The 22,664-nt window shown below is 41.5% G+C and overlaps 1 protein-coding gene across 5 annotated transcripts in view; it reads left to right on the top strand.

Annotated features, from left to right (window-relative positions):
• The window catches only part of DENND5A (DENN domain containing 5A), a 126,526-nt gene that overhangs the window by 40,265 nt on the left and 63,597 nt on the right, over window positions 1–22,664 (top strand). For 3 of the 5 annotated variants that reach the window (NR_145966.2, NM_001243254.2, NM_015213.4), the window contains exons 2-4: window positions 17,454–17,525; window positions 18,304–18,413; window positions 20,769–21,426. Coding sequence is in view for 4 of the 5 variants with exons in the window: in NM_001243254.2 (NP_001230183.1) it covers window positions 17,454–17,525; window positions 18,304–18,413; window positions 20,769–21,426 (840 nt within the window). In the remaining variant the exon portion in view is untranslated. Of the gene's footprint in view, window positions 1–17,453; window positions 17,526–17,877; window positions 17,914–18,303; window positions 18,414–20,768; window positions 21,427–22,664 lie in introns of all 5 variants that reach the window. The other 2 variants (NM_001348750.2, NM_001348749.2) reach the window with 2 other exon arrangements.

Here is a 22,664-nt window from a genome sequence, read left to right as displayed (position 1 = left end):
TTGTGTTATTAAGTAGTTAGATTACACATAGAGTTAGACGTCGGTTCTAGGGACTAGGATTGTGAGGGAACTGAAAACCATGTCATATGAACTACATTCAAAGGAGCAGATTTGTTTTATAACCAGTAAATGGCTCTGACCCTAGCACTCACAGAAAATTTCCAGAAGAACTTGGGGATGGGAAAATGAAAACGTTGGGATACTGTGGATTTTTTTTTTTTTTTTTTTTGGATGGAGTCTTGCTCTGTTGCCCAGGCTGGAGTGCAGTGGCGCGATCTTGGCTCACTGCAACCTCTGCCTCCCAGGTTCAAGCGATTCTCTTGCCTCAGCCTCCTGAGTGGCTGGGATTACAGGCGCGCGCCACCACGCCCGGCTGTTTTTGTATTTTTAGTAAAGACGGGTTTTCACCATGTCAGTCAGGCTGGTCTCGAACTCCTGACCTCGTGATCTGCCTGCCTCAGCCTCCCAAAGTGCTGGGATTATAGGTGTGAGCCACCGCACTGGGCACCATGGATTTTCATAGCACTCACTTGAATAAAAGTAGATTGGCTAATCAGGTGAAGAAGGGTATAAAGGTTATTCTAAGCAGAGAATAACATCTAACAAAGAATGAAAGCACGAAAAAGCATGCCCTGTTTGGGGAACTCAAGTGAATCAATGTATTAGAGGGAGAAAGCAGGTGTTGGGAGGTGAGACTAGGAATGTTGGCAGGTGCCTTATATGCAGATGGAGAAACTGGAGCCCAGGAAGATAAAGTGATTTGCGTAAGGCTTGAGATATGTTGAATCATGCTAGACCCCCAAGCTTTCTCACTTCCCTTCAAGAGTTCTCTCCTTCTTCCCTTCCTTTAGGCATGTTGTTTTAGGCTTATGTTTTATTTTACTTTATTTTTTGAGATGGAGTCTTGCTCTGTCGCCCAGGCTGGAGTGAATGGCGTGATCTCGGCTCACTGCAACCTCTGCCTCCCAGGTTCAAGCGATTCTCCTGCCTCAGCCTCCCTAGTAGTTGGGATTACAGGCATGCGCCACCACACCTGGCTAATTTTTGTATTTTTTTAGTAGAGACAGGGTTTTGCCATGTTGGCCAGGCTGGTCTTGAACTCCTGACCTCAGGTGATCCGCCCACTGCGGCCTCCCAAAGTGCTGGGATTACAGGCATGAGCCACCACACCTGACCGTTCTAGGTTTATTTTTAAATGGTCAGGGCATGCCCTCTGTTTATGAAAGGATTCTAAATAACAATCACAGAGGACTATCTTTTATATTCTTTAGCAAGCTAAATAATTTATTGGAAAAGCTGTAACCTACAGGCAATAGGTTGAAGGATATTAACATTCCCAGGTACCACTGTCAGATGTTACGCTTTTTTTCTCTCTTGCTTGCTCTGTTGCCCAGACTGGAGTGCAGTGGTGTGATCATAGCTCACCGTAGCCTCAGTCTCCCTGGCTCGAGCAATCCTCCCACCTCAGCCTCCCAAGTAGCTGGGACCTCAGGTGTGGTGCCATCACACCCTGCTAATTTAATTTTTTTAATTAATTAATTTTTTTGAGATGGAGTCTCGCTCTGTTGCCCAGGCTGGAGTGCAATGGTGAGATCTTGGCTCACTGCAACCTCCACTTCCCAGGTTCAAGTGTTTCTCTTGCCTCAGCCTCCCAAGTAGCTGCGATTACAGGTACCTGCCATCATGCCTGGCTAATTTTTGTATTTTTAGTAGAGATGGGGTTTTCACCATGTTGGCCAGGCTGGTCTTAAACTCCTGACCTCCGCCTGCCTTGGCCTATTCTGCCCACCTCAGCCTCCCAAAGTGCTGGGATTACAGGCGTGAGACCCCGCACCCAGCCTTAATTTTTTTTTTCTTTTGGTAAAGATGATGTCTTGCTATGTTGCTTCGGCTGGTCTTGAACTCCTCAGCTCAAGTGATCTTCTTGTCTCAGCTCCCAAAGTGCTGGGATTACAGGCATGAGCCACCGCGCCCAGCCGGCTATTACAGTTTTAACTTTCAGAGACAAGCAGCTTGTATTCTAGATCATTCTACAATCAAGAACTCTTTCTACTTTACCATGCTAATTGCTTCAAAAAGGATTCTTTCTTTGACTAGTTCAAATGATAGATGCAGGGATGATCAGTTACAGCTATAGTGATTTAGCAGTTAATAGCTATGTCTGGTAGAAGGTAGGCTATAGCAAGAGCTTGTGGCAACTTTGCTTCTAACTGATGTAGTTGCAGCTTATTGCTCCACTGCAGGCAGCGTTGAATTTCAGCATGGAAAGCACGTTCTTGAGGCCTCTTTGCTTTTCCTCAGTCAAGGCTGTATCCAGGGTTGATATCTAGCCTATATGCCATATGTGTATGGCTAGTGTTTGTTCTGATTGGTTGGTGCTCACACTGCCCAGATTGTTAAATATTTTGAAAATCGTATCTGGTTCTATTCATCTGCATTCTCTGATCTTATGTCTGGCTCTATTTATCCCTATTCTCTGATCTTATGTCAGACCTGAAGTTCCTCTAATTTTTCTGTGGTGTATTTATAGGGAAAAATTGCCTTTTTTTCTTCTAATGCTCTTAAGCAACTTCATATAAAAAAGTTCCTGGAAACATTAAATTTTTCTTTTACTATTACAGGCCATTATACAGTATTTTAAGTCTACTTAGTGATCTAAAAGGTTTCAAACATTTATGAATAAACTAAAGAAATTTGAACACTGACTAGATTTTTGGCATTAGGATTTTTTTGGTCAAATTTTTCTAGGTATAATAATAGTATTGAGGTTATGTTAAAAAAGATACTGTCTTTTAGAGAGACATGCTGAAATATTATAAATAAAATGATATGTTTGGATTTGCTTTAAAATAATCTGGCATGAGGATATACAAGTAAAGCAAGATTAGCCATGCATTGATAATTGCTAAAGCTAGGTGATAGATACATGGCAGTTCATTGTACTTTTTATGATAAAATGTTAGAAAAAGCTCATGTCCTCTTAAAAGACCCCTGCATTTGTAAAATTATAATTGGATATTAAAAATTCTTGCCAAGCGCAGTGGCTCACGCCTGTAATCCCAGCACTTTGGGAGGCCAAGGTGGGCGGATCATGAGGTCAGGAGATCAAGACCATCCTGGCCAACACTGTGAAACCTCATCTCTACTAAAAATATAAAAAATTAGCCGGGCGTGGTGGCATGCACCTGTAGTTCCAGCTATTTGGGAGGCTGAGTCAGGAGAATTACTTGAACCTGGGAGGCAGAGGTTGCAGTGAGCCAAGATCGCACCACTGTACTCCGGCCTGGGTGACAGAGCAAGACTCCATCTTAAAAAAAAGAAAACAACAACAACAACAACAAAATTCTCAATTAGTTGAAGACATTATTGGCAATTATAACTTCTGATTTCCTTGTAATAACTAGAAATATACATGGGGTTGGCTGGGCGCGGTGGCTCACGCCTGTAATCCCAGCAGTTTGGGAGGCCGAGGCAGACCGATTGCCTGAGGTCAGGAGTTCAAGACCAGCCTGGCTAACATGGTGAAACCCCATCTCTACTAAAAATACAAAAATTAGCCAGGCCAGGCGCAGTTGCTCATGCCTGTAATGCCAGCACTGAATGGGTTGGGACCTATTCAGTGTTTTTTTTGTTGCTGTTGTTTGTTTGTTTGTTTGAGATGGAGTCTTGCTCTGTCATCCAGGCTGGAGTGAGGTGGCGCTATCTCGGCTCACTACAACCTCTGCCTCCCAGGTTCAAGAGATTCTTCTGCCTCAGCCTCCTGAGTAGCTGAGACTACAGGCACTCGCCACCATGCCCGGCTAATTTTTGTATTTTTAGTAGAGACAGGGTTTCACCATGTTGGCCAGGCTGGTCTTGAACTCCTGACTTCAGGTGATCCACCTGCCTTGGCCTCCCAAAGTGCTAGGATTACAGGCGTGAGCCACCGTGTCCAGCCGATTGAATGTTTTAATCTCTGATTCTGATACCAAAGTTTTTTGTTTTTTGGGTTTGTATTCTTTTTTTAGACAGTGTCTTGCTCTCTCATCCAGGTTGGAGCTCAATGGCGCCATCTCGGCTCACGGCAACCTCTGCCTCCTGGGCTCAAGCAGTCCTCCCACCTCAGCCTCCCAAGTAGCTGAGTCTACAGGCACCCGCCACTATGCCTGGCTAATTTATGTGTGTGTGTGTACACACACACACTTTTTTTTTTTGAGACAGAGTCTCGCTTTGTCGCCCAAGCTGGAGTGCAGTGGTGCGATCTCAGCTTACTGCAACCTCTGCCTCCCAGGTTCAAGCAATTCTCGTACCTCAGCCTCCCCAGTAGCTGGGATTACAGGTACCCACCACCATGCCTGGCTAATTTTTTTATTTTTAGAAGAGACTGGGTTTTGCCATGTTAGCCAGGCTGGTCTGGAACTCCTGACCTCAGGTAATCTAACCCCCTCAGCCTCCCAAAGTGCTGGGATTATAGGTGTGAGCCACCTGTGCCCGGCCGGTATTTTCATTCATATTTTTTTCCATGTTGAATTATTATTATTATTATTATTATTATTTTTGAGACAGAGTTTCGCTCTTGTTGCCTATACTGGAGTGCAATGGCATGATCTTGGCTCACTGCAACTTCCACCTCCTGGGTTCAAGTGATTCTCCTGCCTCAGCTTCCCAAGTAGCTGGGATTACGGGCATGTGCCACCACGCCCGGCTAATTTTGTATTTTTAGTAGAGACAGGGTTTCTCCATGTTGGTCAGACTGGTCTTGAACTCCTGACCTCAGGTGATCTGCCCGCGTCGGCCTCCCAAAGTGTTGGGATTACAGGCATGAGCCACTGTGCCTGGCCCGAATTATTTTTAAATATCATACATTGCAAGCAAACTATCATTTTTTGCAATTTATAAGAAAGTTATGCCACAGGCGTTTAAGCACATCTATTTTTTTTGCTTTTAGTGTTCTTTGTCCTGCTTTAATTTTTTAGTATGATTTTTCTTATATACCACCTTGTTTTTTGACATAGGTGGGACATAAATCACAAATTGAAAAAACAAAACAAAACCAATCTCTCTTCAGAATGTTTTGAGGAGTAAGGTATTAAGCTTCATTTGAATCAAATTCCCTGGGCTTCTAGAGTGCTTTAACTGAGCCCCTTTCCTTTCTTTCTAAATGATGATATCCAATCAGAAAAAATGTGTTAATCTACTGCATTACTCCACATTCTTTGTCTCTGAGATTTGCAACATCTGAAAAATTTCTTTTTGTTATAGAAGTCTGTTGTGGTTTGTCCCTTGTGCAAGACCTGTAATGGACACCTTAAAGCAGTGGCTTAAAGTATTTTTTGGCTCACAGATCCCTTGGAAAATATGATGCAAGCTGTGGATTCTTGCCTGAGCCCCATCAATCTGGATTATTTGAGGTGTTGGCCTGCCAGGCCTATTGCACTAAAATCTTGGGATGTCCCCTCACCTTATCTTGGAGTTATCCTCTGTCACTTTCTCGTGATGGCTCCAGTTTCCTCCATCCCATATGTAAGTCGTTTTTTTTTGTTAATTCTCGTTTTGGCAGAGCATATGCTTCCTGAGAAAGGATTCATAGAAAATACATTCTTTTTTTGAGATTACATGTTTGAAATTTCTTTCTTTTACTCTCTTATTATTTGGCTGAGTATATAATTCTAACTGGAAATAATTTTCCCACAGAATTTTGAGGACATTGCCTCATTGTCTGCTAGATTCCAGTGTTGCTATTGAGAAATCCAGTGCTATTCAGATATCTTTCCTTGGTAAATTTGTTTCTTCCTGGAAACATCTAGAATTTTCTCATTGTCCCTGGCATTCTGAAATTACATCATGACGTGTCTTGGTGTGGGTCTGTTTTCATCCATTGTGCTAGATCCTTGAAGAGCACTTTCAGTTTGGAAGTTCATGCCTGTCATTTCTGGGAAACTTTATTATTTTGTTGATAATTTCCTCCCCTTTATTTTTTCTCTTCGCTTTTTATGGTATACTTTTATTTGGGTTTTAGACCTCTTGGATGGACTCTAATTTTATTATTTCTTAAATAAATAAATAAATTTATTTCATTTATTTGTTTATTTATTTTTTTGAGATGGAGTTTCATTCTTGTTGCCCAGGCTGGAGTGCAGTGGCGCGATCTTGGCTTACTGCAACCTCCACCTCCCGGGTTCAAGCGATTCTCCTGCCTCAGCCTCCCAAGTAGCTGGGATTACAGGCATGTGCCACTACGCCTGGCTAATTTTTATTTTTTTAGTAGAGGTGGGGTTTCACCATGTTGGCTAGCTTGGTCTTGCACTCCTGACCTCAGGTGATCCACCTGTCTCAGCCTCCTGAAGTGCTGGGATTACAGGCGTGAGCCACCACGCCGGCCCAATACATTTATTTTTGAGACAAAGTTTCACTCTGTCACCCAGCTGGAGTGCAGTGACACGATCACAGCTCACTCTAACCTTCATCTCCCGGGCTCTAGCGATCTTCCCACCTCAGCCTACTACAGGCACACTCCACCACACCCAGCTAATTTTTGTATTTTTAGTAGACAGGATTTCGCCATGTTGCACAGACTGGTCTCAAACTCCTGGGCTTAAGTGATCCACTCCCCTCGGCCTCCCAAAGAGCTGGGAGCCACTGCATCCCGCCTAAGCATGAGCTGAGCCTAAGCATGAGCCACTGTACCCAGACTAATTTTATTACTATTTTTTCTCTAATTTTATTTATTTTGTCCTACTTCTGAGGATATTTCCTCAAATCTATTTGCTAACTCTTCTGTTGAGTTTTAAATTTTTCTGACACCATTTTAATTTCCACAAGCTTGTTTTTTTTTTGTTTATTTTTTTGAGACGGGGTCTTGCTCTGTCACCCAGCCTGGAGTGCAGTGGTGCTATCTCAGCTCACTGCAGCCTCTGCCTCCTGAGCTCATGCAGTCCTCCTGCCTCAGCCTCCTGAGTAGCTGAGACTACTGGTGGGCACCACCATGCCTGGCTAATCTTTTAATTATTATTTTGTACAGATGGGGTCTTGCCATGTTGCCCAGGTTGGTCTTGAACTCCTGGACTCAAACAATCTCTACCCACCTTGGTGCTGAGATTACAGGCATGAGCCACTGCCCAGCCTTGTTTTATTTTCTGAATATTCTTTTAAAACAACAGTCTATTCTTGTTTTATGTATACAATGTCATCTTTTATCTCTGCATATCTTTTATCTGTGATAATAATTTTTGTGTGTGGGAAAAGATACTTTGTTGGAAATGACACATGCTTTGACAGTAGGAGACTGTATTTTACTAGCATGCCAAATTTCTTTTGTTGTTTGTCCTTTTATTTTTTAAATCACTTTATGAAGATATACTTTACATAGCCTAGTTTACCTGCTTACAGTATACAATTTCTGTTTTTTAATGTATTTGCAGAGTTGTGCAATCGTTACCATAATTTAATTTTAGAATATTTTAATCACTTTAAAAAGAAACTTTGTACTAATTAGCAGTCACTCTGTATCCCCTCATCCCAGGTAAACACTAATCTACTTTCTGTCTCCATACGTAGGCCTTTTCTGGGCAATTAATTAATTAATTAATTTGAGACGGAATTTTTGCTCTTATTGCCCAGGCTGGAGTGCAGTGGTGAGATCTCGGCTCACTGCACCCTCTGCCTCCTGGGTTCTAGCTATTCTCCTGCCTCAGCTTCTCGAGTAGCTGGAACTACAGGTGTGCCCCACCACGCCTGGCTAATTTTTGCATTTTTAGTAGAGATGGGGTTTCACCATGTTGGCCAGGCTGGTCTCAAACTCCTGACCTCAGGTGATCACCCGCCTCAGCCTCTCAAAGTGCTGGGATTACAGGCATGAGCCATCGCGCCTGGCCAGGACATTTTATATAAATGGAATGATACAGTATGTGATCTTAAGCCACTTGGCATGTTTTCAAGATTCATCTGTGTTGTAGCATGTAACAGTACACCATTCTTTTTTATGGCTGAATAATGTTCCATTGTATTATTATACATTTCATTCATCTGTTCATCAGCTGATGCCTGCTGATTCTTTCGTATTTATTTTTTTGAGATGGGATCTTGCTCTGTTGCCCAGACTATAGTGCAGTAGTGTGATCATAGCTCACTGCAGCCTCAAACTCCTGGGCTTAAGTGATCCTCCCACCACAGCCTCCTGAATAGCTGGTACTACAGATGCATACCACCATGCCTGGCTTATTATTATTATTATTTTGAGATAGGCTCTTGTTCTGTCACCCAGGCTGGAATGCAGTAGCACCATCACAGCTCACTGCAGCTCAATCTCCCAGGCTCAAGCAATCCCTCCACCTCAGCCTCCAGACTAGTAATTATTAAATTTTTTGTAGAGACAGGATCTCGTTACATTGTCCAGGTTGGTTCCGAGCTCCTGGCCTCAAGCCATCCTCCTGATTATCTGGGATTACAGGCATGAGCCACAGTCCCCTGCCCTGCTGGTTCTTAAACAGGCTTTCGGTTAGTCCTCCTGTTTTTAGCTCCATCTTTATCCCCACTTTGAAAGGTGCCTAATGCTATAAGTTCCTGAGCTTTTTGGAGGTTACGTTGTATCTCAGCCTTTCTCAAGCCTACTGTTGGTAACCATTCATCCATCAGCTTTTCAGCTTCTAAAATGTTGTTACTATTACCTTCACTCTGATTTTGTGGGTTTATGCCACTCCCCATCCTCCATTGTTTTAGCAAGGTTTTGGAAAGAGAGAGGTAGCTGAGGAAGAGCTAATGCATACCTTCAGCCCTCAGTCTTTCACTGAAAGTTTAAAAGGTGGGATTCCCATGCTGTATCAGGCTCTAGGCCCAATAGTCATGGAATGACCAAGCTGGAAAAACCTTTAGAGATGAGCAGCTAGTCATATACTTCATCTTTCAGGTGAAGAAAATGAGACTCACAAGACTCAGTAAATTGTTTAATGTCATACAATTAGTAAGTAGCCAAGTTAGGTCCTTAATCCTGTCTCCTGCCTTCTTGACTAGTTGCTCAGACTTAATTTAGGCTGATTACATTAAAATTTGGTATTGAGGAGAGCATGGGGACCCTTGTTCACATTTGGCCTTTGCCACTTTTTAGTTACAGAAATGGGTTTGCTTAAGCCCAATTTTCTGGAGGGGCTAGCTTTTAGAGAAAGGTGCATGTGTACCTACCTGTGTAGCCTCTGGGAGCTCACTATATTTGGAAGAGTGTGCGTATACATCTAACTAACTTATTAATTATATAAAAGAACGGCCAGGCGCGGTGGCTCACGCTTGTAATCCCAGCACTTTGGGAGGCTGAGGCGGGCGGATCTTCTGAGGTCAGGGGTTTGAGATCAGCCTGGCCAACACGGCGAAACCCTATCTTTACTAAAACACAAAAACAATTAGCTGGGCATGGTGGTGTGTGCCTGTAATCCCAGCTACTAGGGAGGCTGAGACAGGAGAATTGCCTGAACCTGGGAGGTGGAGGTTGCAGTGAGCTGAGTTCGTGCCACTGCACTATAGCCTGGGCGACAGAGCGAGACTCCATCTCAAAAAAAAAAAAAAAGAACACAGGATTGGGTTTCTTAGACTGGTCTAAAAGACCATGAATTGGACAGCTGGTTGCATCACCCACTAAACAGGAAATAATGTGAGTTCCAGGTGTTACCTGACAGATGTGTGCTCTGCAGGGCATTCGGCTGGGCTAAAAGGAAGGCAATGTGAACAAAAGTGCTTTCAGTTTGTCCTAGATGCAGTTTGGAACAGTCCTGACTGGATAGGCTCTCAAACCTAGTCTCTCTAAAACTGGTCACATAAGAAGTTCAGCCATTTTAGAAATACTAGGTACATGAGTTGGATCATGTGTGGTGCCTGGAAGATGTTAAGCAGGAGGCAAAACATCAATAAAAATAATGGCTGTGTATACAAACCTAAAACTATCTGACAAAGTAAATGTATTGAGAAAGAGAGTGAACAAATCTGCCTTGAGAAAATAGGAGTAACAGGGTTTCTCTTAAATTTACATTGAAAAGCCTGGTAAGCAGCTTTCCTGGGTTAGTGCCTTGGAAGAGGACTTAGAAGTGGCCTGCGGGGCTGGTGCGGTGACTCATGCCTGTAATCCCAGCACTTTGGGAGGCCAAGGTGGACAATGGACCACTTAAGGTCAGGAGTTCGAGACCAGTCTGGCTAATGTGGTAAAACCCCATCCCTACTAAAAATAGAAAGATTAGCTGAGGGTGATGGCAGGCGCCTGTAATCCCAGCTAGTTGGGAGGCCGAGGCAGGAGAATCAGTTGAACCTGGGAGGCACAGGTTGCAGTGAGCCAAGATTGTGCCACTGCACTCCAGCCTGGGTGACAGAGCGAGACTCCGTCTCAAAAAAACAAAACAAAACAAAAAAGTCTTGTGGGTGGGGGTTGGGGGGCAGTGGACAGTTCACTGCTTGTATTCTGGGTACTTACTTGTGAATGTCTGACTCCTGAGCATCACAGTCAGCTGGTGATGTGGGCCAAGTTACAGCCTGTCTCTTCAAGGAACAGTTACCTTCTTTTCTTTACGGTGTAGGAGTTGTAAAATCAATTTCATGTGAAGAAGAGATAAGGAAGAGTGATAGCTTCCAAAGCTCTGCAGTCCTTATTGTGTATGTGTGCCTGTATTTAAGGTGTCTCTATTTAAAAAGTGCTGATAGTAATGAAAGTCATCTATTAATAAAAGTAATGATAAGGTTAATTCTCATTTAATTAGAAATGTGTAATCTCTTCCCTTCCTACATTGTGCCCTGCCATCAGACAGGTGATGCCCTCTGATTTGTATAGGGGTTCAGAAATTATGTGGAAGATAGGGAGAATTGAAATGCTGGAGCAGCCAGAGAGTTGAAGACAAAACAACCTGGCTCTCAACATGCACAAAAAATAGAAGTGTGAGTTGGTAGCAGTACTATGCTATTGGGCAGTCTATTTCACAAGTGTTTATAACAGGAAAGATACAGTGCCATCTTTTAGTGTGGGAAATAAACTGATTATAGCATGGACGACACTCAGTTGATGACCGTGGTTGGTCACCAGTAGTATCAATTTTAGTATATCCCAGAATGCCAATATGCAAAGGATAGCATATTAACTTAGACGTATGCATTCGCAGAGGAAAGAATTTCATCACTCTTGCTGCAGATGATCTACAGATAATATGAAATAGACCTTATAGGATTGTTGTTGATATGGTAAGTTGAGGCAGTCTATGTGATACTGAAACAGGAGAGGTTCCCTTGTCCCCTCCCTGGCTCACTGCTTCTTCTTCTTCTTTTTTTTTTGGGAGACGGAGTCTCGCTCAGCCACCCAGGCTGGAGTGCAGTGGTGCAATCTCGGCTCACTGCAGCCACCATCTCCAGGGTTCAAGCGATCGTGCCATCTCAGCCTCCCAGGTAGCTGTGATTACAAGCACCTGCCACCATGCCTGGCTAATTTTTGTGTTTTAGTAGAGATGGGTTTTCACCATGTTGGCCCAGCTGGTCTTGAACTCCTGACCTCAGTTGATGCACCCGCCTCGGCCTCCCAAAATGCTGGGATTACAGGTGTGAGCCACCGTACCCTGCCCACAGTATAGTTTTGAATGCTTGAAATATATTGCCTGCAGCCTCTGTTTTAAAAACCCTGAGAGGTTGTTAGAACCATTAAAAAAAAGGTGTTTTTTTTTTAAGTTAAACTTTAAATTTGAGGTAATTATAGATTTATTTGCAATTGTAAGAAATAATAGAGAGATCCCCTGTGCACTCTACCCAGCTTCCCTTATTGGTGACATCTTGCAGAACTATATAGATATTATCAGAAACTCACGCCTGTAATCCCAGCACTTTGGGAGGCTGAGGCGGGTGGATTGCCTGCGGTCAAGAGTTCGAGACCAGCCTGGCCAACATGGTGAAACCCCGTCACTATTTAAAATACAAAAAAATTAGCTGGATGTGGTGGCAGGCACCTGTAATCCCAGCTACTCGGGAGGCCGAGGAAGGAGAATCACTTGAACCTGGGAGGTGGATGTTGCAGTGAGTCAAGATTGTACCATTGCATTCCAGCCTGGGCAACAAGAGTAAAACTCTGTCTCAAAAAAAAAAAAAAAAAAATCAGAACCAGGAACTTGACATTGATATAGTCAAGGTATCAAAGAGTTCCATCACCATAAGAATTCTTGGGGTTGCCCTTTTATAGCCACACCCATCTACCTTCCTCTCCCCACAACCACCCAACTCTCCCCCTTCCCCACCATTCTTTGTTTCCCTAATTTTATTGTTTCAAGAATATTATATAAATGGAATCACACAATACGTAACCTGTTGTGATTGGCTTTTCTCATTCCTGTACAGGTCTACTGGTGATGAATTCTCTCTGTTTTGCCTGAAAATGTTTTTAATTTGCCCTCATTTTTGAAGGATATTTTTTCTGTTCATAAAATTCTGGGTTTGACAGATTTTTATTTATTTGTGTTTTTTTTTCAGTACTTGTGTTGTTCCATGTTTTCTAGCCTTCATTGTTTCTGATGAGAAGGCAGTAGTAATTTCAGTTTCTTCCCCTTGAATATAATGTGTATCCTTTCTTTCTAGCTCTTTTCAAGGTTCTCTCTTATCATTGGTTTCTAGAAGTTTGTCTGTGGTGTACTTGTGTATTATTTTATTGGCATTTATACTGCTTGGAGTCCATTGAGCTTTTTGAATCTGTAAATTTTTGTCTTTTACCAAATTTGGGAAAATTTTGATTATTAATTCTTCAAATATTGTTTTCTGCCTCATTCTTTCTATTTTCCTTCTGGAACTCCAATTATATTATGTTAGACTTGTTGCCCCACACATCTCTGAGGTCCTCTCTCCTGCTGCCCTTTTCTTTTTTAATTTATACATTTTATTGTGTAGAGATGGGGTCTTGCTGTGTTACCTAGGCTGGTCTTGAACTCCTGGCCTCAAGCAGTCCTCTCAACCTTGGCCTCCCAAAGTGCTGAGGTTATAAGTGTGAGCTACCACGCCCAGCCAGCTCTTTCTTTTCCTAATCCTTTTTTCTGTCTGTATTTCTGATTGGATAATTTTTGTTGTTCATTTTTCAAGGTCAGTATCTCTCCTGTCATTTCCAATCTGCTTTTAAGCCAGCCCACTGCATTGTAATGTCTGTTCTCTGTTGAGATCTGTTTTTTTTTTTTTTTTTTTTGAGACGGAGTCTTGCTCTGTTGCCCAGGGTGGAGTGCAGTGGCACGATCTTGGCTTACTGAAATCTCCACCTCAACCTCAAGAGATTCTTCTGCCTCAGCCTCCCCAGTAACTGGGACTACAGGCACACGCCACCACACCCGCCTGATTTTTATATTTTTAGTAGAGACGGGGTTTCACCATATTGGCCAGGCTTGTCTCGAACTCCTGACCTCGTGATCTTCCCGCCTCGGCCTCCCAAAGTCCTGGGATTACAGGAGTGAGCCACCATGTCTGGCCTGAGATCTATTTTTTCATTCATTATGATCATAGCTGCTTTAAAATTCTTGTTTGCTAATTCCAGTATTTGAGTAAACTCAGGGTTGGTTTCTGTTGATTGACTCTTCTCTTGAGAATGGGTCATATTTTCCTGTTTCTTTATATGCTGAGCAGTTCTGGATTGTAAAGAACTAGATTCTGTTACCTCCCTCCAGAGAGCATTCTTTTTTTATTTTATTATTATTATTGTTATTATTTTTAAGTTAACTGTTTCCCTGTAGTGGGTGGCAACTTAAATTTCAGTTCAGTTCTTTTACCCTTAACTTGGCTGCTTGGGGTCTTCTCCATGCATGCGTGTTTCAGGGATCAGCCAGGTTTGTAGGCAGAGTTTGTACACAGATTTTTGGGTCTTCCCTTCTGTGGTTCTCTCTGGAATCTCCCTCTTTCACTTCCCAGCTGCTGTGGTTTGCCTTAAAATTTGCCCTCTGGTTTCTTAAGCTAGTAAGATTATGAGTTTTTGAGTTTTACCCACCTCTTATGACAGACAGGTACTTGCCTGACTGGAAGCCATAAAAAAGGGAAACTCACCCAGTATCATTACCTTCTTTGAAGTGCTGACCTTCTTCCCTACTTGAGAATCTTCTTGCTTTTTAATTCTCCAGACAAGCTCATACTTGTCTGCAGGAAAGTTGGTCTGAAGGGAGCTACTCTGCCATGACTGGAAGCAGAATCTGTATGAACTAGACATAAAATATTCTGTTGATAAAATCAATTTTTTCCCATTGTAGTTTCACAGATCTTTATATTATCCTCCCTATCACCTTCAAGAGGCCAGATATAAAAATGTCTTTAAACTGGGTGTGGTGGAGCATGCCTGTAAGGGAGGCTGAAGTCAGAGGATTGCGTAAGCCCAGGAATTTGAGAGCAACCTGGGCAACCTAGCTAGACCCTGACTCTACAAAAAAATTTAAACAATTAGCTGGGCGTGGTGGTCCTAGCTACTCTGGAGGCTGAGGTGGGAGGATAGCCTGAGCTCAGGAGGTTGAGGCTGCAGTGAGCCGTGATTGTGCCACTGCACCCCAGCCTGGGCAACAGAGTGTGACCTTATCTCAAAACAACAACAACAACAAATGTCGATTTATTTCTGGCTTGGTCAAAACAGAACAGATAAAAAACCTATTAGAAGTTCTTGTAAGGCATGTATGCTTTAAAAAAAAGTCTGTTATGATTGATTTGAACTGTACTTCCTTGGAAGCAGATTCACAAAGATAGACTCACACATAGTTGACTAATTTTGAAATTGTTCTTGGAAATGGGCTTTAGATCTTATATCTGGATCTGCTGATGTTTGTATAATCTATATGTGTTGAACAAATAATTAGTCGTTGTTTCTAGGACAATAGGACAGTCATGTTGGTGATGTCATATTCCTAATATTGTTTGAATTTCCAAGGGTCTAAATAATTGAGAATTTAAGGTACCTGTGATACACAGGTTTCAGGAGGTGGGCCTATGTAGGTGTTTCTGAGGATTAAGTTTTCCTACTGTTTCTTCTCTTTTTTTTTTGAGATGGAGTCTTGCTGTGTCACCCAAGCTGGAGTATAATGGTGTGATCTCAGCTCACTGCAACCTCCATCCCCCGGGTTCAAGTGATTCTCCTGCCTCAGCCTCCCAGTTAGCTGGGATTACAGGTGTCCGCCACTACGCCTGGCTAATTTTTGTATTTTTTAGTAGAGATGGGGTTTCACCATGTTGGCCAGGCTGGTTTGTAACTCCTGACCTCAAGTGATCCACCCACCTTAGCCTCCCAAAGTGCTGGGATTACAGGTATGAGCCACCGTGCCCAGCCCCTTACTGTTTATTCTTAAAACTCAGCCCTAAGTAAATGATGAGTGAATCATTTCACTAAAAAAAATCTTAGGTTTGTGAATCCCCTTCTCTTACCTTTTCTGGCACTCTTTGTAGAGCGGCTGAAATGAGAATATGATTTGTTTTCAGGGCCCTCATACTTCTTTATACATCTCCTTTCCCCTTATGGAGAAAATACTTTGCTCTTGCTACTGGTCCAGTCTAATTCACAGAAGGACATTTGTCTAACTTTGGCACCCCGTATAGTCCTTTATTTAGAACCAGACTCTTTAACAAGACTTCTTCCCTTAGCTAATTTAAAGAAGGGGCAGATGTGGAGAGGTGGTGGTGGGGACAGAGGCTCTAACAATCACTTCTCCAGTGATTCATAGCCTTTCTCTCCCTTTTGACCACACTTCAGATCAGCTGGTCATGCTCACCTTTGGCTCCATTCTTCATCTCACTTTTAAAAAGTTCTCCCCTTAATCACTCAGCTTTCCTATCTTCTCACACATGCATGTCATGTCTTAGGGAGCTCCTTACAGCCATTTTAGATGAGATCAGGCGCATTTAGGGTGGTTATGGCCATAGACGCCTAGAGCCATTTTAGGAAGGCGTCTTTCCTTTACAGAGAACGGTGATAGTTGTCCTGATTCCTCTCTCTGTTGTGATATTTCGTGGTTTTTACTGAGGGGATTTTCTGGCTAGTTAGGAAGAAATGAACAAACTGATAACTGAAAGTGAAGAAGCTTAGGAGGAAGAAACAGTTATCTTCTTTCAGACATGAATGCAGTTTAAAAATACATCCCAAGAATTTCAGACTGTAGACGAGATCATTATGTCAGCGGCTTGCTGCTTAATTACTTTGTACAGTAAGTGCAGGCTTACCATGGGTGGGCTCTGCAGGTGTTACAGAAAGCTCTGAGCCTAGCTCTACATAAGCTGTAGGCCTTGTTGCTGCAGCTATTACCAGCTGCCTGCTGATTTTTGCCAGTCTTTAGTGAAGATTACCAAATGTATTTTGAGGGACGAAATTTACTCAAAAAGAAAGTTTCAGAAGAATTTGTTTGGAAGAAGGATCAGGAAATAAGAGGAATGAAATTGTGGCACTTGCTTTTAATAACAGAAAGAAGGTTGGGTCCTATCAGAATTTGAAAATTGTGAATAAGTGAGCTGCTGCTTCTGATGATGGACAAAACCTCAGAGAAAATAGAGGAGAGATTGTAGTTATAAAAGCAGTAACTTTCTGACTGGAATTATTATTAGTTTCTGGAACAGGTGCCTTAGAGTTATTATAAACTTTTCTCTTTTAGAAACTTTTGAGGTGCCTTTGGGATTGATTTAGGGTAAAGGATTTTCTGACTTAGGTGCATCTCATCCTGTGATAGTGAAGAATGCATTTTCCTTAATAACCACAAGTCCCTTTAGGTTCCAGACCAACTTAGAAAAACTACATTTGTAACAGAATTTATTCTGTCAACTAGCACACGCAAACAGGACCCTGTGCAAGTGTACTCTGAATGGTTAGGCCACGTAGGTGAAAGATCTGGAGCCTCCCAGATAATAGCCTTCCTGTGAAATGGTTATTTGTATGTGTATGTTCTTTTTCCTGTATATTTGACACTGAGATCATTGAGGGTATGTGCTTTGTCTGGTTCATCTCTATTCCTCACAATATCTAAGTCCCTTGATTACTCAGTAAACAGGTATAGATTTCACTTGAATTGTCCTTGATTATGTTCCCCCGACACCTGAGATTTGTTTGTTTGAACTGTTTATATGCATTTAATTTGTCCCACACTCCCTAATTCCTTAGGAAAAGCAATATTTGGGATAGTATACTTTTAGATAAAGCACTAGTGACTTTATAGTAATTTGGTATCAGTTGAGCTCTTCGTTCTACTATACCGTATTATAATGTTTTTCAAACTGAATTATGATAATTAGTAGGTCTGCAGTCAGCATTTTTTGTTTTAATGATATAGAGTAGGAAATATGAGAGGACATTATATATATAGTAAAGGTAAGTATTGTTTTGTGAAATTTTTGCTTTAGGTAAATTTATGTATACACATACATGTATGTGTTTATTGTTTCATAATGTAAAATGTAATTTGTACTGGAATAATGGTCAAAAAAGTTTGAATAACACTGCTTTATTGTAATACTCTGTTATTTCATTTATCATATAGCATTATGCCAGTACATACAGGCTTCTAAAGCCAGGGATGGTGCCAGCCCTTTCATTTCAAGTACGACTGAAGGTAAAAACAAAACAAAATTGAGAACACCCAAAGCTTTCTAATGGTTCTTACATATATCTCTCCAGTGGCATTTTGTAACCTTTGACCTTCTAACTTTCTTGTGCCTTTTTTGACCACTAGATTTTTCAGATTTGTATCCCTCTAGGTGGTGGGTTCTTTGGTTCTTTCTCTCTTCACTTTAATGTTGTTATTTCAATATACTTTAGTGTTTTTAGGAGGGGGAATGGGAAAACAAAGGACAATTCCAGAAATTTCAAGTAATTCTGAATTGACAGAATATCTCATTAGATTTACCCTGAAATCTGCTTCGTTAATGTTCTTACATCTTTTCATTTCTTTGTATTTTTCCCAGAGATCATTGAAATGCATAGTTTATTCTGAATTTTAGGTAAAATATGCTTCTGTGATGTTTTTAGTTGACTTTAAGCAAATTAAATGTGGCTTTCAGGGAAAAAAAAAAGATAGATACAATCCTTGTCATTCCTTGTGCTTTCTCACTCTCTCCCATGAAAATTAACCATTGGGTTTGAGTAGTAATTTCATTTTGAAGAAGAACTGACAGCTAGTGATGTCTGACATTAACCATGCTATACTTTTTCAGCTTCTTTACTGACCTAATAACTTTAATGCCTTTCCTATTTTTATTCTTAGATGGTTGGCATACTAACCCCCTTGCCTTCATTTCTGTACCTTGCTGGACTACCAAGCTCAGACATTTATAACCCTGTGACTTAAAGGGATTTTGTAGAAATGATTTACTTCATTCTTTTTCTTACAGGAGAAAATTTTGAGCAGACACCATTGAGAAGAACATTCAAATCTAAGGTCCTTGCACGATATCCTGAGAACGTAGAATGGAATCCCTTTGACCAAGATGCAGTAGGAATGGTTGGTATTTGTTAGCCACAAGTATGAGATAATTTACAGAGTAATTTATAATAGGATTGTGAGTTCAGGCTGTGGTAGCAGTGGTGCCACCAAATACCAATAACTTTTGAAGAAAGGATTATAATGCATATTGTTTATTATTCTGCATTTTGGTCAAAATACCAAATATTCAGAATATATTAAATATGCTAAAAGTTATAATGTGTTTCTGTTGTGTCAGAGAAATACATAGTATTGTGTCAGTGAACTTATTTTGTGGTCCTGATCTGTTGATTATTTATTGCATTGAGATTATATGATGAGTCAATTTTAAACTTCACTAGTTTAAAATTGTTTTCTTTCATTCTGCACTGTATATATCTAAGTAATATGACAGAAGTGGGTATTTTTGTTTCATCATAATTTTATTTTCATTTTTTTGTTTCATCATAATTTTAGATAGGACAGCATTTAAAAATCTCATGTGGAAGAATATACCACTAGAGTAAGCTAACCTTTATTGAATATTCACCTTGTGCTAGGCACTCTAATAAGCATTTTATATGAATTAACTTATTTAATCCTTACAGTACTCTTTACATGGGTAGTATTAAATAAACACATACACACGTACATATTTTACAGATGAAGAAATTAAGATCCAAAGAGGTTAGGTAATGTATTCAAGCTCGCATGGCCAATAAGTAGTTGAGTTGGAGTTTGAGCACTGTAGTCTGGTTCCAGACCTCTGCTCTTAACCTTATCTTTGTACTGCCTCTATTACATTTGATTTTGAGACAGGGTCTCATTCTGTCACCCAGGCTGTTGGAGAGCAGTGGTGTGATCTTGCCTCACTGCAGCCTCATCCTCCTGAGCTCAAGTGATCCTCCCACCTCAGCCACCCGAGTAGCTGGGACTACTGGTGCACGACACTATGCCTGGCTACTTTTTGGATTTTTTTTTTATAGAAGCAGTGTTTTGCTCTGTTGTCCAGGCTGTTCTCAAATTCCTGGGCTCAAACAGTCCGCCTACCTTGACCTCCCAAAGTGCTGCGACTATAGGCGTGAGCCACTGCACCTGGCCTTCTATTACATTTTTAATAGCATTCTGTAGTTTTTAGAGGATGGTCTTGTTTGATGCATACAAAAACCCTGTGAAGTAGGGAGAGGAAACTATATTATTATTTCACAGATGAAGAAACTGTCTTTGAGAGCCTCAAGTTTTTTGACTCCTAGTCTAGCGTTTATTTCATTTTAACATGCTATGTTCTAGAAATACCTAGCCTTTGGGAAGTCAAGTTTAAGGCTAATAGATATAATATAATATAGGTCCTTGTATTTGTTAACCCAGGATATCATATTTTATTTGTATAGCCAGGTTCATGTAAAACTGGAAAATGGGAACTGATTGATTCAGGTCAGTTCGTTTAACTATCCAAGTTTCTTTATATAACCCCTCTGAATTAGAGTGAAAACAGTACATCTTTATCCTGATTATGTCATCTCCTTGGTTTATATGAAATGAGCATACTTTTTGATGTGAAAAGAAGTTTTACTAATGACAGAATTTTGTGAGGTGATAGTCCAATACTATTTACAAGTTTGTTTTATTTTTAGGTATAAAGTTGCATGTATCTGGTTTTTAGATATATTTCTAGCATCATCTCCTAATATACATATCTTACTCTCTGTCATGCTGTCATGCTTAACCACCTACCATTTCCTAAATTTTCCAAGTTTTCTTTTATCTCCATGTCTTTGTGCATTTTCTTCTTGTCCCCAAAATACCCTTCTATCCCTTGTGTACTTGATGAACTCTAACATTACCTTTTTTTGGTGACAGTCTTGCTCTGTCGCTCAGGCTGGAGTGCAGTGCATGATCTTGGCTCACTGCAACCTCCGTCTCCTGAGTCAAGTGATTCTTATGCCTCGGCCTCCCCAGTGGCTGGGATTATAGGCGTGCACCAGCACACCTGGTTAATTTTTGTGTTTTTAGTAGAGACAGGGTTTCGCCATGTTGCCCAGGCTGGTCTTGAACTGCTGGCCTCAAGCGATCCACCTGCCTTGGCCTCCCAAAATGCTGGGATTACAGGTGTGAGCCACTGCACCTGGCCCATTTTTGTAGCTTTTTCTGATATTCCCAGGCTGAGTTGTCTGTGCTGTGTTCCTGTAGTACTTTGCATATACTTTTGTATATCCCTGATGACTGCATTATGATTTTATTTACTTGCATGTCTTGCATTAGAAAGAGAGAGCTTTAAGCCAGATACACGCTCAGCTTAGTAGGTGCTCTATAAATAAATAAATAGTGATGGTGTTCTGAAAGAGGATCGCCAGTGAGTGTTCTCACTGCTTGTTGCCTTGTTGTCTTTTGCAGCTATGTATGCCGAAAGGGCTGGCATTCAAGACCCAGGCTGATCCCAGGGAGCCCCAATTCCATGCCTTTATTATCACAAGGGAGGATGGCTCTCGGACATTTGGGTTTGCCCTCACATTTTATGAAGAGGTGACTAGCAAGCAGATCTGCAGTGCAATGCAGACCCTCTACCACATGCACAATGCTGAGTATGATGTCCTACATGCTCCCCCTGCTGATGACAGAGACCAGAGCAGCATGGAGGATGGTGAAGACACTCCTGTGACCAAACTGCAGCGCTTCAACTCCTATGACATTAGCCGGGACACTCTCTACGTCTCTAAGTGCATCTGCCTCATCACACCCATGTCTTTCATGAAGGCATGTCGGAGCGTGCTGGAGCAACTCCACCAGGCAGTCACTTCACCTCAGCCCCCTCCACTGCCCCTTGAGAGCTACATATACAACGTACTCTACGAGGTGCCGCTCCCACCTCCTGGCCGGTCCTTGAAGTTTTCTGGGGTCTATGGGCCAATAATCTGCCAGAGACCAAGTACCAATGAGCTTCCCCTATTTGACTTTCCTGTCAAAGAGGTTTTTGAACTGCTCGGGGTGGAGAATGTGTTTCAGCTTTTTACTTGTGCCCTTCTGGAGTTTCAAATCCTGCTCTACTCACAGCGTAAGTCAGTGCTTACTAGAGCCTTCTGCCTGCCTCAGGCTTCTTTGCTTTCCATGTTCAGATACAGTGAGGCTGACTGTAAAGGTTAAGAGCTATTACAGTTTGAGCAAAACCCAGATCTTTTGCAGGTAGGTGGTGGATGGCAAATTGATAGACATGAGAGGGCCAGTATTTCTGATTAACTATCTTCATGGCCTTTTGCTGGGCATTCCAGTCTTGGAGGGGAACATTGCTTCCTATGTCCCTTCTGATTGAAGTGAAAAGAGGGGTGGGTAGGAGGTGATGGTCACAGGAAGCTGACTTTCCATCAGTTCTGTTCTGTCATTCTGCAGAGTTATTTCTGCCTCTTCCTCAGCCTAGTAAAATTGAGGATTCACAAAGGATAATCCTTTATATATTGAGAAAATGTGGATGTGTTGCATCTTTTTGTTGTTTGCTTAACTGAATTGTTTTCATAAATGGGAGGTTGAGTGTAAGCAGCATATTTGGACAAAATAGTAAAGTAGATTAGAAAGAAACAGATGCTTACTTAATGAGCCAGGCTAGTAACATGAAATTCATTCATTCAGTACATATTTACTGAGAGTGCACTATGTGTCAGGCATTGTTTCAAGGGTAGTGGTGGACAAGACAGAAAAATTGTTGCTATAGTGGAACTTAAATTTTAGTGGGAGAAGAGAGGTGATTAAATAAATATATAAAATATGTAGTTTGTAAGGTACTTAATAAGGGTTATAAAGAAAAATAAAACAGGGAAAGGGATAGTATTTGGGGAAGAGAAGTTCCAGTTTGTAATAGGGTGGTTAGGTAGGCATCCCTGAGTGACCTGTTAATATCTGTAGGAAAAGTATTCCAGGCAAAGGGCACAGGAAGTATAAACGGTCTAAGACAAGAATGTGCTTCGTGTATTCAAGAACCAGAAGCTGGGTGGATGGAATGGAGTGAATGAGCGGGAGTATAGTAGGAGATGGTGTTAGAGACTTAACTGGAGGCCAGATGGTATAGAATCTTGTAGGCCATTGTAAGGACTTTGGCTTTTACTCTTAAATGGCTCTTAGATAGCCATCAGAGTTTTCAATTTTTTTTACTTTTTATTTTAAAATAATTTCTAGCTACGGAAGATTCGCGAGGGGTATTCAAAGGACTCTTGTATAACCTATCCCAAATTCACCAATTGTTAACATTTTGCCACATTTGCTTTATTATGATCTCTGTGTGTGAACATAACTGAACCATTG

Source organism: Homo sapiens, chromosome 11, assembly GCF_000001405.40.
Source record: "Homo sapiens chromosome 11, GRCh38.p14 Primary Assembly".
Classification (NCBI taxonomy): Eukaryota; Metazoa; Chordata; class Mammalia; order Primates; family Hominidae; genus Homo; species Homo sapiens.
This window is presented reverse-complemented; position numbering and strand designations above follow the sequence as displayed.